This window comes from Homo sapiens, chromosome 1 (genome assembly GCF_000001405.40).
Source record: "Homo sapiens chromosome 1, GRCh38.p14 Primary Assembly".
Taxonomy (NCBI): Eukaryota; Metazoa; Chordata; class Mammalia; order Primates; family Hominidae; genus Homo; species Homo sapiens.
The window spans coordinates 20,288,184-20,304,722 of NC_000001.11; the positions used below are offsets into that span (position 1 = coordinate 20,288,184).

At 51.5% G+C, this 16,539-nt stretch overlaps 1 protein-coding gene across 11 annotated transcripts in view, besides 2 other annotated features; it reads left to right on the plus strand.

Annotated features, from left to right (window-relative positions):
* Window positions 2,073-2,584: an enhancer, noted in NCBI's record as "H3K4me1 hESC enhancer chr1:20616749-20617260 (GRCh37/hg19 assembly coordinates)". NCBI's record gives its function as "activates a minimal SCP1, AML or CMV promoter by ChIP-STARR-seq in naive H9 embryonic stem cells {active_cell/tissue: H9 hESC(naive)}" and the evidence as "EXISTENCE:reporter gene assay evidence [ECO:0000049][PMID:30033119]".
* Window positions 2,585-3,095: an enhancer, noted in NCBI's record as "H3K4me1 hESC enhancer chr1:20617261-20617771 (GRCh37/hg19 assembly coordinates)". NCBI's record gives its function as "activates a minimal SCP1, AML or CMV promoter by ChIP-STARR-seq in naive H9 embryonic stem cells {active_cell/tissue: H9 hESC(naive)}" and the evidence as "EXISTENCE:reporter gene assay evidence [ECO:0000049][PMID:30033119]".
* Window positions 2,692-16,539, plus strand: part of VWA5B1 (von Willebrand factor A domain containing 5B1) — a 68,644-nt gene continuing 54,796 nt past the window's right edge. For 6 of the 11 annotated variants that reach the window (XM_011540683.3, XM_011540688.3, XM_011540691.3 and 3 more), the window contains exon 1: window positions 14,711-15,029. The gene's annotated coding sequence lies outside the window, so the exon portion shown is untranslated. Of the gene's footprint in view, window positions 2,906-3,100; window positions 3,590-14,710; window positions 15,167-16,539 lie in introns of those variants that run through there. The other 5 variants (NM_001039500.3, NM_001377531.1, XM_047445799.1 and 2 more) reach the window with 3 other exon arrangements.

A 16,539-nucleotide genomic window follows, 5' to 3' on the forward strand; every position in this document is an offset into this window, starting at 1 on the left:
CTATGAGGGAGCAAGGAACAGTTCTTCTGCAAAGACTTCAGAGGGGGTGCGGCCCCACTGGCACCTTGATTCCAAACTTCTAGCGCCTAGAAATATGAGAGAATAAATGCCTGCTGTTTTGATCCACCCAGTTTGTGGTCATTTGTTCTGGGAGCCCCAGGAAACTAATACAATGGGGTAAGAAAATCTTGAACCCTTCAAGAAGAGGCAGCTCTCAGCCTTCTCCACACACACCATTCACATCTCAGGTCCTCTGTCTCCCGCCACCTCTCATGTCCTCTTCATGCCTTGTATCCACTCAACCAGGCTGATGTTGTTCTCCCAAAGAGTTTTGGTCCTAAAATGTAAACTCCAGGCTTGGGACGGTTTAGTCAAAAGGATGACCAGTGGATACAGATTTCTGGTCCCATATTCACTGAGAGACAGGGATCTTGAACTTTGTGGGGGACTGAGAATTGGACTTTGGGAGCCTGGGGATGTGTGGAGGTGGTGGAGGTTAGAATTCTAAGTGGCTATGTCCCCAAGCCCCGGTCCCCTATCTCCAAGGAACCAGGACTCTCTGAGCTGAAAAGTGACTCATAGCCACTCTAAGAGGCATGAGGTCGTGTGGCATTGTTGCAAGGATGCTAGACTTGGGAGTCATGGAGAACTGAGTTTGAATCCCAGCTCTGCCACTTCTTGGCTATAACAAAAGGCCAGTCACTTCACCTCTCAGGCTCAGTCCCCACCCCCTGTGGAGCGGGGCTGATGGTACCTGCTGCACTGGGTGATTATGAGGGTTAAATAAAATAATGCATGCAGAAAGGCTTCAGGGAACTGTTGTGTGGGACAAAATCTGGTTGGGAACCTGTGTGCCAGGTTCCTGGAAATCTGTGTCTTACTCATCATCACTTTCCCCAAGCACTGGCTCCAAGGCCCAGCTCAAGGTGAGCAAGTGTAAGTATCGAACTGAAGGTAAGCTTTGTCTCATCCTTGGTTAGTTCTTGTATGACAGAGGCACCTTTCCATTGCCCAACCTATCATTTTCTCCTCAGCCTATGACAGCAGTTTTGCTTCTCTCTGGAGACTGATCCAACACCCCAGCCGGCCTTCAGAGGTAATCCAGGCAAAACAGCCAAGCCTGAGAAGTTCATTTGCCCGTGTCTAGTTCACCTTCCTCTCACCTCCTCCATTCCCTCTGCCCAGCAGTCCCCCCAAATTCCCCCTCCAGAATGTTCTCTAAGGTTCTTTTGCTGGGGCTTCCCTTTCAACTGTCTGACACCTTCATGGATGGGGAAGTCCTGAGACTTCAGGTAGCATGTTTCATGAAGTTCTGGGGGGGGATTCAAAACTCTTTTGGAACCCTAAGGTGTGACTGCATAATGGGGAATCACTGGTTCATGGACTTCTGGCTAAGATCACATATCATCTGTTACCCCAGCAGGGAGTTCTTGCACCCCACCTGACATCTGTGCTCCCTTTTGCCATTGCATCCACCCACTACCCCTATCCTATCCTCAGGCTCCTCTCTCCTTAGGCAGAGAGTCCAGAAGAGGGGCTGATCATCTGTCCCAGATGAAGTCTCTTGTGTGGAGAAGGAGGTAGGGTGGAGAGGTGGCATCAGACAGACCTGGGTTCCAACTTTGGCTCCTCCACGTCCTGTGTAGCCTAAGGAAACTCACGTCACCTCTCTGAACTCATATTTGAAATGAACATAGCATAGCATCCACCTCCCAGTGTTTGGTACAGAACAAGTGAGATGCACTTCTTCCAGGCTATGTGTGCGGTGCCCAGCTCACAGTGACAGCTATAAAAAGCCAATAAGATATGGTGGAGTTTCCGGTGTTGGGATCACTGTGAATTTGAATCCCTGCTCTGTCATTTCATGGCTCTGTACCTTCAGCAAGTCACTCTGCCTCTCCAAATCACAATTTCTCTGTAAACTTGGAAGAAAGGCCCTCTTCTTGAGGATTTTTATAAGGCTTAAATGAGATGTGTGATCATTTGCTTCATCCTGTACCTCTGAAGCATCTTTCAACTTTGAACTCTTTAACTCTAGGCTCTGAATTTAGATTTTGCAGTCCTAACCCAGCTGGCCACTGGCTTCCTTGATTATAGCAAGCCCCTGGCTCTCTGGGCTACGCAACTTTGTATCTCCAAAGGCCAGACCTCCAGTCTGATGCCCCCAGGGGCTGCACCTAGAATCCTAGCAATTTCCCGTGTGGCTTTGGCATGGCCAGGAGCAGCAAGGGATGGCTTGGGACTCTAAGGGTGAATAGGCATGGCCAAAGGCCCCGGCAGAGGACCTGCCCATGACCACGGTCACCAATACTGTCTGTTCACTACACCGTGGCCTCATGGGGGAGAATGGATTGGCAGCTTGTAACACTTGGCTAAAAAATAAACTTGCTGGGGGGCAGGGAGATATAGAGGGGCCAGCTCCTGCACAGGCAGTAGGTACCCCTGGCCCAGGCAGACTCTGCACAGTGTTGAAATACCCTGGAGGCAGCCCCACTCCCCAGGGAGGAGCTGCCCGAAGGACTGTTATCACAGGCCAGGCCCTTTCCTTCAGCCTCAGCAGGGATTAGCTGAGGCTGCTAAGTGGCCTCCAGCTTTCTCCTGTGCTCCGGAGAAGGGGGGAGGGAAGGGCGAGGGGTGGGGAAACAGCACCAGCGGTGTGTGCGTATGGGGTGATTGTCATGGTTACGCTCTGACAAAACAAATGGCTCGGCCTCCTGCAGGCCACCTAAACAGCTATCGCAATGTGGGCATTGATCAAGCCAGCTGCCAGGGCAGCGGGCGCAGGGCTTGGGCACTGGAGCCCAGCCCCGGACCGCACCTCCAGCAGTGCTGGGTGCAGAAGGCAGTCACTGTGGCAGTGGAGAGACAGAGTGTGTACCCAGACACGTGTTGCTTCTGGGGTAAGGTAAGGGCTGGCCCCACTTGTGTCAGGAGGAGAGGCTGGACAAGGGGGCTGCTCTGGGTGGGCAAGGGCATGCATGAGTGTGTGTGTGTATGTGTGTGTGTGTGTGTGTGGTGAGTTTGTGTGTCTATGGGCATGTGTGTCAGGGTGTGTACACTGTGTGCAGGCACCATGGGGAGGAGCCCAGGATGCTTCAGCATAAGAAGTGAGGGAGCATGGCCACATGTTGCTACTCAGGTCCAGCTCTCTCTCTCTCTTTCTTTCTTTCTTTCTTTCTCTCTCTCTCTCTCTCTCTCTCTCTTTCTGTCTCCTCTATTTCTCTCCCTCCCCACCCCTTCTCCTGCTCCCTCTTCTCTTTCTCGTTTGCTTTCTGTGTCTGTTTCTCTTTTTTCTCTGTGTGAGTCTGCGTCTCCTTCTCTCTGTGTCTCTGTCTCTCTCTTCTCTCTGCCTCCTTCCTCCCTCTCTCAACCTTCCGTCCCTGCCACCTGTTTCCACCACTTCCTGGTCAGTCCCCCATCATCCCTCATTTGTCCTCCAGAGCTCTGGGGCAGTCAGGAGCTCTGCAGGGTGCCCACCCCGGCAGCCGGGCTCATGCCTGCTGCCCTTCGGATGCCCCGCAGCTTGTGACCATCCCCAGAGCCACCGGCCAAGGGCACACCCTTTCCTGAGCCCCGTGTCTCCTGCAAGGTAAGAGGGGAAGGAGAAAAGGTCCTCGGGCAGAAGGAGGCGGCTAGTGGAGAGGAACTCAGCAGCGGGTGCAGTGTGGCGCCTGCTAACGCATCAAGCCTCCGCTGGAAGTTCCACCATAACGTCTGCGGCAGCCCCAACAGTTCCACCCCATGCTCCCGCCGCCGGCACCACAGCAGCAGAAGGAGGCCTGTGGGGCGGGGGCCAGAACCTTTCCCTCCTCCCTTCTGAAGAGCAACAGGCGTCACACCATCCTGCCTCTCCCACTAACCCCGTTCCTTCTTTTGCTTTTTCTTTCTTTTTCTCTCTTTCTTTTTTCTTTTTTTCTTTTTCTTTCCCTCTGTCTCTCTTTCTCTTTTCTTTCCCTCTCTTTCTTTCTCTCTCTCTCTTTCTTTCCTCCCCCCCTCCTGTCCTCCCTTACCTCCTTCCTTCTTTTTTTTTTTAGACTTAGGAAGTAAGTCTTCTCTGCTGAGGCGCAGCCCCTTCCCTGGGCTCACCTGTCTAAACCCAGCCAGCTCATGGGGACTGGACGAGGCTCAAAGGGGTCTAGATGAGCTCTGGTCCTCCTGCTCCTGGGAAGAGGTGGTGAGGCCACGAGGCTCTGTGGTCAGCTGGGTTGGCCGGTGGGGCTGAGCACATGTGCATGTGTGTGCGTGTGATGCATGCAGGCATATGCTCTGGAAAGGTATATTAGGGCATGTGTGTGTAAGGGGATTACCTGGAGGGTAGGGACGTGTATCGGGGAACTACATGAGTTGGTAAGTGGGTCTGTGTGTGTATATAAATGTGTTTACGTGTTTGTGGGTGCATGTGGGGGACACCCTGTGTTTGCTGCTGTGCAGGGATTTAAGAGTGCAGTGGCATGCGTGTGTGTGTGTGTGCACACGTGTGCACATGCAGAGAATTGTGAGTTGAACTTGACCCAAAGGTTGCTGGGCAGGGTCCCCAAAGTCTGATATGTGGCTGTGGGGCCCTCATCACCCAGCCTTGGCTGGCATCTGTCTGCAGGGATAGTGCTTCAGTTGTCTCCAATCCAGCCCCATCCAGGTGATGGTGCAGGGCTGGTGGTCACTGTGCCCGGGTGGGTGGCCTGCAGACCCCACTGCCTTGCTGGCTTGAGATGTGCCAAGGCTCCTGACCTGGAAATGGCTCAGGCTCTGAGCAGCCTCCTCAGCTTCAGGGATTAGGAAACTCAGGATCTGTGACCTCACAGAAAATGGGGTGAAGACCAGCCCCAGATCTGGGCCAGACACAGCTCTCAGAAGGTGCTCTAGACACTGGCGATTAGGCTGTTAGCAAAGTTGTCCTAGCTGGGAGGAGGAGGTAGAGGACAGGCAGCCCCACCCAGGGTGATGACACCAGTGTTCTGTTCCAAGGAGCTAGGACACCCACTCAGCCATCCCTGTGGCCCCTACTCACCTGGCAGCCCCTGGGCCCAGAGGGAAGAAGCACTTTTGTGCTTCCTCTGTCTCACTCATTGCGGCTTTGCTCCAGGCTCTGCTCCGAGCCAGCACCTTCACTGACCTCTTGTTACCAATGATGCGAATGCTGGTTATGGCTCTGTGAGAGGCCAGCTCCATGGGGACAAGGGACAGCTCTGAGGAAAGGAGGGCAGTGGAAGAGGCACCCAGGGACTCAGGGGCAGCACTCCTCCAGGCCACTGGCCTGGGCTCCTTTTCGGATACCGGTTGTCCTCTCTGCTAAATACCTACCTGGGTTTCTCTCAGTACCCCGATGGTTCCCTCTACAACACAACCTCCAGTGACCAATGACCAGGCTATACAGACACAGGTTTCTCGTGGTCTCACAGGCGTCCTTACTCCAGTCAGCCTGGGAAGGGGCTTGAGCAAGGCCAAGAAGAGGGTCACCTAAACAGGAAGCTGACAGACATCCCTGGGGGAACTGGGAACAGCCCAGTGGGGTCACTGGACTGAGTATGACTCCAGGTCACCAGGGGTGCACAAGTCTTTTCATCCTATGAAACCCTCTGGGTTCCTGGATTCCTTAGGGAGAGGGGATTGGGATCAGCGGTATTCTGTGTGGGGCTAGGCAGGCTTCCTGAAGGAGGTGACACTAGAGTGGGGATTTGGAGGAAGCAATGGATGGATGTGGCTACGTGGGTGGACAGAGAGGAGCAGGGAAGTGTTTCCCACGTGACTGGAGTGTGAGTGCAGGCAGCGCTGGGAGGGGCAGGAGGTCTTCGTCGATCAATGTCAGTTTGAATGAACAGACAAGAAAGGGTGGAAATAGGGAAAGGAATGAAAACCATTGGATCACTGGGCACCCACTTCATGCCGGGCTCTGGGCGGGATGTTGGGTCTCTGTCCTCAAGAGGCTTGCAGTCTCAAGTGGGGAGACCAGTGGTCATCAATTACCCAAGCTTATGCAAAATAACACTCAGGAGAAGAACTCCTGGATTTGAGGTACAGAGGCAAGGGCTGGGTCAGAGACACATCTTTATTGAGTCAACTGCTTATGCATCGAAGCAGGGTAGGGCAAGTTTGAACCTGGAGGAATTTTTGTCTTCGGCGTCTGGTCACTTGCCTCTCTATAGTCCTGGCCCCAAGGATGAGCCTGCAAAACTAGCAGAGAAGGAACAGTTAGACATGGGGGTTGGGGAAAAAGGGACAAAGAGTACTATCTAGTTTCTTTCTTACCTGTGTCATTCCCTTACCTGGTGCCTTACCCATGGGGTTTTATTTATTTATTTATTTATTTATTTTTGAGACGGAGTTTCACTCTTGTTGCCCAGGCTGGAGTGCAATGGCATAATCTCGGCTCACCGCAACCTCCGCCTCCCAGGTTCAAGCAATTCACCTGCCTCAGCCTCCCAAGTAGCTGGGATTACAGGCATGCGCCACCACGCCAGGCTAATTTTGTATTTTTAGTAGAGACGGGGTTTCTCCATGTTGGTCTGGCTGGTCTCAAACCCCCAGCCTCCCAAGTAGCTGAGATTACAGGCATGCACCACCACGCCAGGCTAATTTTGTATTTTTAGTAGAGACGGGGTTTCTCCATGTTGGTCTGGCTGGTCTCAAACTCCCAGCCTCAGGTGATCTGCCCGCCTCAGCCTCCCAAAATGCTGGAATTACAGGCGTGAGCCACCATGCCTGGCCTCCCATGAGGTTTTACTAATCTCTACTTTACAGGTGATAAAACTGAGCCTTGGAGAGCTCAAAGAGCTAGCTATAGCAAACAGCAGTGCCACCCTCTAGAAGAGAACTTAAGACCGCTCCATGCATGGAGATTGTTACAGCAGGATTTAGCTGAGCAAAGCTGGATCCTAGGGGCCCAGAGGAGGGAGCAATCACTCCTAGATAAAGGGGTGGGGAAAGGCTTCAGGGAGGAGGTGGGTTTGAAGGGACCCAGCAGGATGAGTAGGTTTCAAAACACAGAGATGGGATCACAGGGCTCTGGGTTGAGGGAGGAACGTAAACAAGGGTGCAAAGTTGAGGCTCACAGAGGTCTGGGGAAGAGCACATATTCTAGTCTGGAACACAGAGTCAGAGCGGAAGAGAAATATGGAATCAGGCTGCAAAGGGGGATTGTGGGGCGGAGCTGAATTTGACGTGAGCAAGTCAGGCTTAGTTAAGACTATGAACAGTCCCAGAGCAGGGAAGCACTGTGGTCAGATCAAGATCTCAGGAAGACAAATTAACAAGCCTGAGAAATTGAAATCTCACCTCTTGAATCCTCACTGGGGTCTGGAAGGATCCTAGTCCCCAGTCTGAAAACCCTTTGCTAGATCGTGCCTTGTGAATCTTCCTAAGGCAAGGGTCCCCGGGTGTCTCAGCACAAAGCTCTTCTCCCTATTCCCATGACCACACTGAGGATCAAACTGCTGGGCACAGGACTCTCTGCCAAGAGGTTCCTTCCCTGGGTGCCACTGTGGAGACAGAGACAGGACCCAGGGCCAGGGCAGGCAGCTGGAGTGATGGTCCCAACCCAGCCTAGAATGTGGCCATTGAGGGAGTGGCTGGAGGGCAGGAGATGGGTCTACCTGGTTCGCCGTAGTGTCCCCCCTTCCTTATTCAGGCCCCATGGAGGAGTCTGCTTAATCATTATCTGTGACCCCATAGATGTGAGGTTGTAGGTTGTTTGGTTTGTTTGATGGAGTTTTGTTCTTGTTGCCCAGGCTGGAGTGCAATGGTGCGATCTCAGCTCACTGCAACCTCCGCCTCCTAGGTTCAAGTGATTCTCCTGCCTCAGCCTCCTGAGTAGCTGGGATTACACGTGTGCACCACCAAGCCTGGCTAATTTTTTTATTTTTAGTAGAAACAGAATTTTCCCATGTTAGCCAGGCTGGTCTCGAACTCCTGACCTCAGGTGATCCGCCCACCTCAGCCTCCCAAAGTGCTGGGATTACAGGCGTGAGCCACCATGCCCGGCCAAGGTTGTAGGTTTTTTAAAATGTCACCCTAATAGAGAACATGAATAGACTGTCCACTTACAAAAGTAGTCCCTGAATAAATGTCTGTTCTTGCTCAGAACCAGCGTTGATCCCTGCCCTTCACCCAATACCCATGTCCATCAGTTTCTCCGTCAGGTGGGGTAAGCAGCTGATTATACAAAGCCAAAGGATTGCACGGTGAAACTGACATCATGTGAAAGTTGTGGGAGTTAGTGAGGCCAATAAAAGAGGACATTGGAGGACTCCTAGTCCTACACAAGGCCATAGATAAATGAGAACCTGGCATTTAGGCCAGAGAATGACAGAAGAGAATATGCACAACAATGAGTTCATGATAAGAAACTTTAATCATTATGCTGTGACAGTGAAATATGACCTTTTTAAAAATGTCATATCATGCTAGCATATAATTCTGTTCAGGAAAACCATGCCCTGCTAAACCAATCAATATTTGATTTGTCCTTTGAGGATTGAAAGTTTTGGCACATGGTTGTAACTATAATCTTATTTTGGTCCAACATAAGATTCTATTTTCATATTTTTAGTCTCATTTCTCAAAATGAAATCCCAACTGAAATCTTTTCTTCATTCACCCTTTCCTATGACACGTTGGTCCCTGTTCTAAGTGGATTCACTTACAGTGGGCTTTTTCTGGTCAAATTATTGGGTTAACATGGGGATCTCTCATGATGAGTGTTTAATGCTTGTAGAGTTTATGAATGAATGACTATGGAGTTCTTTCCAGAACCATTCACTTTTGCCTTTCAGGCCTCTTGCTTCTGCATTGCCTGCCTCGCCTCAGGTCGTTCATTAGTTTATTCAGCATTTAATGAGCACCTGCTGATTGTCAGGCTCTCTTCTAAGGCACTGGGAATACAATTGTTGACAAAATATACAAAGATCTCTGTCTTCCTAGAGCTTATATTCTAGTGGACCCACTAGAATCTCACCTTCTTCCACCTCTTACTCCCTTTGGATACCATGGATTCTATTCCTGGGACCATCACCTTTGCTCAAAGACCCAAACATTCATGGCTGTACTAGCCAATTAGATTAGGCTACGCTGCAGTAAAAAAGCAGCAACGTTTTAATTCCTGCTCTTGCCACATGTACAAAGTAGGCCGTGCCTCTAACGGAGGCTCCTTGGGGGCACATTCCTCCATGATCGCTGTGGCAGAGAACATGACATGGGCAAGCACACATTGGCTTTGAAAGCTTCCACCTGGAAGTGACACACGTCGCTTCCACACATTTCATTGGCTGAAGCCAGAGGCACATCTAGGCCTTCAAGGAAGCTGGGAGCTGCAGCTTACCACGCACCCAGAGGAGGAGAAGGCAGAAGATCTGTACAATGGCATGAAGATCACATGCAGCCTTATTTAAGAGCGGGGCATCATAGCCTTGATCAGAATACTTATAGGAAATAGGGGAGAAAGGACAGGTCATCTTGGGTTGAGTCCCTTCAAGGATCTTAGCCCTCTTTCTCTGACAACTAGCACTCAGTGCTGACCAGCAGATCTGAATGCCTGGTGGCCAGCAGGATTGGCCTCTGCCACTCTCAAGCCTCAGCACAGCAAAGCAGCAGGTCCCCTATTCACAGAGGAAGCTCTGCCCTGGGAGCTCCAAACCTCTTGTGTTATTTCCCCTCTGAGCCTCAGTCTCCTCCTGATCCTTAAAATGGGATAATAATCCGTATTTTGCTCCTATTCATAGAGCCCTAATTAATTCATGGATGTGAAAGTGCTTTAATTATAAATTGCTTTCTATGAGGCATGGAGGCTCATTATGATTACTTTCATGACTCGGTGGTGGATTTTTTTTTTTTTTTTTTTTTTGTTTGTTCAGGGGACAGAGTCTTGCTCTGTCTCCCAGGCTGGAGCACAGTGGTATGATCATATCTCACTGCAGCCTGGAAGTCCTGGGCTCAGGCAATTCTCCTACCTCAGCCTCCCAAGAAGCTGGGATTACAGGTGTGCCACCACACCTAGCTAATTTTTGTGTATATGTGTAGAAATGGTCCCTCTATGTTGCCCAGGCTGGTCTCAAACTCCTGGCCTCAAGCAGTCCTTCCACTTCAGCTTCCCAAATGGTAGGATTACAGGCATGAGCCACCCTGCCCAGTCTCAGTGGTGAATCTGAAAGGGTAAGCTGGTCAGGGGCTACAGTCTCTTCACTGCTTACAATTCCATCATTTTTAATCCTTTCCTTTGAATTCTTGAAGACTTTTCTAAGATACCCCATTTCTAAGAGATTCCTTACAAGCCTATCAGGAAGTCTGGCCTTGATTAGCTTTATCCCCACATCCCACCTTCCCCTACACAGGGCAAAGCCACCAGCTCACCTTCACAGTCAGCCAGGCACTGTGCCTGGCGCTTTATGCACAGTTCTCTTTCTCATCATCATGAGGCAGTGAGGCGAGCTCTACTTCTGTGCCCTTTTATAGATCAGAAAACTGAGGTCAGTGAGGTGAAGTAGCTTGCCTGTGTCACCCAGTGCTACAAGTCAAAGCCTGGCTTTGAGCCTAATTCCTAGAGCCTGAGGAGCTCCTGATGCCCAGGCTGGCTGACGAGGGGGACTCTGCAGCTGGCCTCCTCTCTCTGCTTCCTTGTCCCTGGTTGGTTCAGTCTGTGTTGCTGACAACCCTGTGTTGTACTTGGGACTCTCAAAGAGAGGGCTTTTCTCTTGCTTCTGTGGATGTGGGATACCGTTACCATGGATTTTGCTATGGCACAGTGGTAAATGCAGAGGCACTGGAATGGAAGTGGCCGGAGTTCAGTTCCCAGAGTCATCCCTTCCTAGCTTTATGACCTTGGGCAGTTTTACTAACCTCTCTTATGTTCACTCAGATCACCCTGTAAAAAGAAAGAAAGATTGCACTTACAGGGTTATGAGGGATCCATGTGATCATACACATAACTTTCTTAGCACAGTGCCTACGACCCAATGGAGGAGTTTGTGCAAAGTGTCGGGAACCTCTAAACCCTAAAACCCTGCCTCCTTAAACCTGGTTGGCAATGGGAAACTCGGTATCCTAAATGCAGCCTCTCCAACTGTCTCTCCCTTCCCTCTTAACCTTCAGCTGGTTCTGCACCAGCTGGAGCCCAAGAAGAGGGGCAATACCAACCTTGCCTGAGGTTTTCCTGCAGTAAGATGCCCCATGAGGTCCATTCTGAGGCCTCTTTGTGTGTCCCTCGTGCTCCAGTTTTGGTTTTTTGTTTTGTTTTTGTTTTTGTTTTTTGAGACAGAGTCTCACTCTGTTGCCCAGCCTGAAGTGCAGTAGTGCGATCTTAGCTCACCGCAAGCTCCACTTCCCAGGTTCAAGCGATTCTCGTGCCTTAGCCTCCCAAGTAGCTGGGACTACAGGCGCCTGAAGCCCTGCCTGGCTAATTTTTGTAGTTTTAGTAAAGGCGGGGTTTCACCATGCTGGCCAGGCTGGCCTCAAACTCCTGAACTTAAGCGATCCACGCACCTCAGCCTCCCAGAGTGCTGGGATTACAGGCGTGAGCCACCACGCTCGGCCTCCAGTGGCATCTTGTTGAAATGACTTCGAAGTGGGAGTCTTCTCTAGTGTGCTGACTTGGTAGGAGAGACAGCCAGGGTACTGATCTACTGTCTCCACTCAAAACATGGGGAAGATGCTGTCTCCTTTCCCCACTCCTACCCCCGCCTCCCCACTCCTAGAAAGCACAGCAAAAGGGCAGAAGCCAGTGAGAGGTAGAGCCCTGGGGGTTTGCCGCAGTTGGTGTGGAAGGGTCACAGGCCCTGCGTAAGAGCAGCTGGCTGGCAGGTGCACTAACTCAGCCTGGGCACCTGGACCTCACTGGAGAGGAGCAGGCAGCAGGGGGGCGCCATTAACAACCCAGGATCTGGGGCCAGATGCTTGGATTCAAATCCTGGCTCTACACCCACTCACTGTGTAACCCTGAGGTTTTCTTCACCTTTCTAGGTCTTGGTTTCCTCTGCTGCAAAGTGAGGATGAGCTGCTTCATAGGGTCTTTCTGGGGATTCAGTGTGAAAATCCCTCTGGCACTCAGGAAACAGTGTCACCTCTGAGAAGAGACTAAGTAGTCAGACACACAGATCCCTTCAACTGGGCGGGGTGCATGAGGAATGAGTATACATCTTCAGTCCTGATGTGGGTTGTCTCTCAGAGCAGCTGAGACCCTGGACTGTCAATCTGAAGAGATGGGTGGCATGAATTCTCAAGGTGCACCTCCTCTTGTTGTTAGATAAAGATGCCAGGACCCAGAGCCCAGAGGGACCCCGTGGGAAGGACCTTCTCCAGGTCATTCATGTATTCATTCAGCAAATAAGTATAGAGGGTGATGAATCTCTGAAGGTGGAGTCCAAATCCCACCACCAGCTCCACCACTTACAAGTGTATTACCTTGACCAAGAAATGTAACCACGCTGGGCTTCAGTTTCCTCTTCTGCAAAATGGGGATAATAGCCTTGCCTTCTTGATAGGATTGTCCTGAGGGTTACTAGAACTAATTCATGAAAAGCACTTAGAATGCCACCTGGCATCTACTCATGGCTCAATATGTGTTAGCTGATATTTTTTGAAAACTGTTTTAGGCACCGTTCCATGTGCTAAGAACCATAACAAGGAAGAAGTACAGTTTTGACCCCTACCCCAGGGTCTTAAGACCCCACCAATCTTTACGCCCCACCAGCTGTGCTCCGTCCAGGCCCAAGAGGTATAGCCAGACCATATGTGTGATGGCAGGGTCCCAGTCTGGGGTTCACATGCAGTTGGTGGCAGGACTTGTCCTCAGGCCAGGGGGCACTTTGACTCCCAGTGCAGTGACCTCTGCCACCCCACAAAGCCTCTCTGTGGAGGGGGCGCATTGTGTACGGGGAAGCAGTCTCACAGGTTGGCCCAAACTGCTCTGGGACCTCAGAGAGAAGGGAAGGCAATGAATGTATTCTTTAGCCAACATCTAGGCAGGGGGCCCTGGGATGGCTGGGTGGCAGGTCTGAGGGCTGTAGGTGGCCAGAGCCCCCATGGGGTAATGCCAAAACTCAGATGCCCAGATGCAGTCATAGTGGGTGGGAGAGTGAAGCCGGAAGGATAACCCAAAGAGAAAAGGGAATGAAAGCAATAGCCAACATTTACTGGGGACCAGAAACTGGGACAAGCATTTTATAGGACAGTGTCTCCCTTGCAAGCCTCTCAATAACCCTAAGAAAGAGAAGACATTTTTACCCGCCCACTATACAGAGGGTGAAACTGAATTTCAAAGAAGCATCCAATGAGAGACCACTGGAGAAGGAAGAGGAAAGGCAGGTTCCAGGGGCAGGAATTCACTTCCAAGCCTGTCATTTTACCACTTCAAGGTTTTGCAGGCAGGCACAGCACAAGGATTTACTCTTCAACTCCCTAGAAGCCCCACTGCAATGGAGTAGCTCTAGAGGGGCAGTGGCTGGATTCAAAAACAGCTCTCCCTGTGCGCCACCAGCCGGTGAGCCCCTCAGCACACGGGAAGCGGTGTGCTGGAGACAGGGACAAGGCTCGAAGCCACATAGAGAATTTACTTAGTGCTTTTCAGCGGAGCCACAGGGATGCTAGCAGCTCTGCTGGGTGAGCTCAACTTGCAAACATGCCCCCAGAAAGGTGGGTGTACACTGAATTTGTGTAATACAGCCCAATTTTCCCAGCGATGTGTGGGTGCATTTCTGAGTGACCCTCAGTGAGCAGAGGCTCCAACGCAGGAATCTTACTGGGCCCCCAGTGGACAGGCATGGCGCAGTTTCTGTATATGTAAACCACTTCCTCGTTGATCTAATCCGACAAGCATCTTTTCACACGCTTAGCCCAGATAGATGGCCCTCATTTATCTTTTCAAATGTGGATGTGTCTATTTCTCCCTTCTTCAGCAGGCCCAAACAGTCTCCTAGCTGGAAGCCCCAGACACCGTGGTGGCTTGGCCCCAGCCTCCTGTCCAGACTGACTGTCCAGGACATCTCAACTGGCTGGACTCCAGGTCTCTCAGGCAGTGTGAGGACATAAAGCACCGAGAAGCCTGAGCATTCTGTGCCTTGACTACTCCCCCAACCCCCTGCCCCCACCAAAGGAGACTACAGCTATCTCCAGGATAGAATCTCATGGGCTGTGGGCTGAAATAAATTTCTCCCATTGTTAGATTCTTCAGACGAACCTGTAGCCAAGTCCTATATCCACCCCATGACACATTTCATTCTATTTATTTGGCCACTGACTCATTCATTCAACCAATAGAGCACATGCCATCCATTCATTGTTGAGCACCAACTATGGGCCAGACACTGAGGAGAGACAGAGTCTCCTGCCTCAAGTTCTGGGGGCTAACTGCTCCTGGTTGGGGTGGGTGGGGGACAAGACACAAGGCCTGAGGGCAGGGGCCCTGTACTTCTTGGTCATTGCGGTAGCCCAGCCTAGCAGTGTCTGGCACAGAGCAGGTCCTCCATATAGTTCTGTTAAATGGACACACGGCACATGGATGATGAGACAGATAACGTGAGTGGTGCTGACTGTGCTGGTGGCAGGGGGCAATCTTAGGCAATGCAGGACCCCGAGAAGGCTCCATGGAGGTGGTGGCATTGAAGCTGGCCTTGAAGGATGGCTAAGGAGGGAGAGGTGGAGACAGCATTCCTGGCAAAGCCCACAGTGCCAGAAGAGATAGCGGTAGCAGAAGTCAGCCTTGTTTGGAGACGTAGCGAGAGGTCTTGACTGGCTGGAGCATGGGGTAAATGGGGTGAGGGTTGGCCTCACCGTCAGGGATTTGTTACCCGTGTTGGCTGGATATAGGCCTACGCGGGGAGGTTTAGAGGAAAGAGACCAGAATACGAGAAGCCCAGAATTCTAGAAGGTTAGGACAATCAGACCAGATCCAGAGAACCTACCGACTTGGCCCCACTTTGATAAGAGTGTTGGTGCTATTGGTGATTGGGTGGCCCTTAGAGCACGGGCTTCTAAAGGGGACATGAAAGCAGGACTTCCTAGAGGGGGCTGGAGATAAGAAAAGAAGCAAAGGCCCCTAGCCCCAGGTAAGAGGGCAGGTGGCAAGCCCAGAATTGCTTGTGGGCTCACAGTCTTCATCTAGCCCAGGCCTGGCTGAGCCCACACAGGTAGGGGACCCCAACTCTATGGAGAAGCATCTAGGAGGGATCAGGCCAGGATGAGGGTGAGTTGCTTCCAGAATGGCTTTGCAGGTGGGAGGAACATGTTTCTGGGACAACAATGTGCTGGAGATGCAAGGGAAAGGGTAGATTTCAGCAGTAAGATCAGAGTCAGGGTCAGGGGTTACTAAGGCAGATGCTAGGCAGAGGCCCATGGGACCTTCCCAGCTCAGACCTGGAGGAAGCTAAGGCACAAGGAGGTTAAGTAACTTGCTCAAGAATACGCAAAATGTGAGTGGCAGAGCCCAGCAGAGTGACTGGGCCAATTACTATGGAAGTGGCCATCCCAGGGACACTAACCTCAGGCAGTTTGCCAGAGACTGGGACCTAGGTACCCCTAACCACTACCCCATGGGCAAGTTTCTGCCTTCCCAATCTCTTTCTGAAAAGCAAATATCCCCCAGCAAGAGGGGCATGAGGGCCTTCTCCTTGACCCCAGGAGCCCTGACACAGCCCCCTGCCACCTCCACCTCCCTTGTGATGGCTGAAGCCAGCAGGGCCCCAGCAATCTCTTCCCTCCTGTGCTCAGCACGAACTGGGAAGCAGCCTGAGCAGGGGAAATAGCAGGCTTTGGAGTCCGGGCTGGTTTCCATTCAGCTTGGCCACTTTCTGGCTGTGTGATGGCTTTTGGACCTCCATCTGAACCTGGAAATTGGGAGTAGATGTATTAGCAATGCCTGTAAAGCACTAGAACCTGGTAGATGCCCCTATTCAGAGCCCCTCCTCCAAACCAAGCACAGTCCAGGGAGCTGGAACAAGGCAAAGGAGGAGGTGCAGCCATTGCTCTTTCAGAACTCACAGCCCCATGGGAAGTTAAAGCCATTGCAGATGAGTGGTTACAGTGCCGCAGGATGTGGGGTGTGATAGACAAGGGCCCAAAGGCTATGCAAGCCCGGAGGAGAGCGTGTCTGATGGACTGGAGTGTCAGAGAAGGAGAAGGCTTCCTGGAGGAGGTGGATCTAAGCCTTGAAAGAGGAACAAGACTTTGAAGGCAAAAGAGGCAAAGGGAGGCAAAGAACCTGACGTGTTCAGGGCATGATGAGAGGGTCAGTGTGTTTGGAGGAAGGCAAGCATGTAGAACGTGGAGGGCGGTGGCACTGGAGAGAGACAAGGACCCAATGGGGAGAGCCTTGAATGCCACACTAGATGTTTGACTTACTCTTTTGGACAAAATCAATGGGAAGCCATTACGCTAAGGAAAAATGGAGGTGTGTGTGTGTGTGCACGTGCGTGCATGTGTGTGTGTGTGGTGACAGAGGGGACCAGAAGGGAAACAGCCTGGAGGTTGAAGGAACAGGTAGGAGATGATACAGTCTAAGGGAGATCAGTGAAGCAGCAGCAATGGGAAGAGAGAAGAGAGGATTGCAAGACTCGCTCA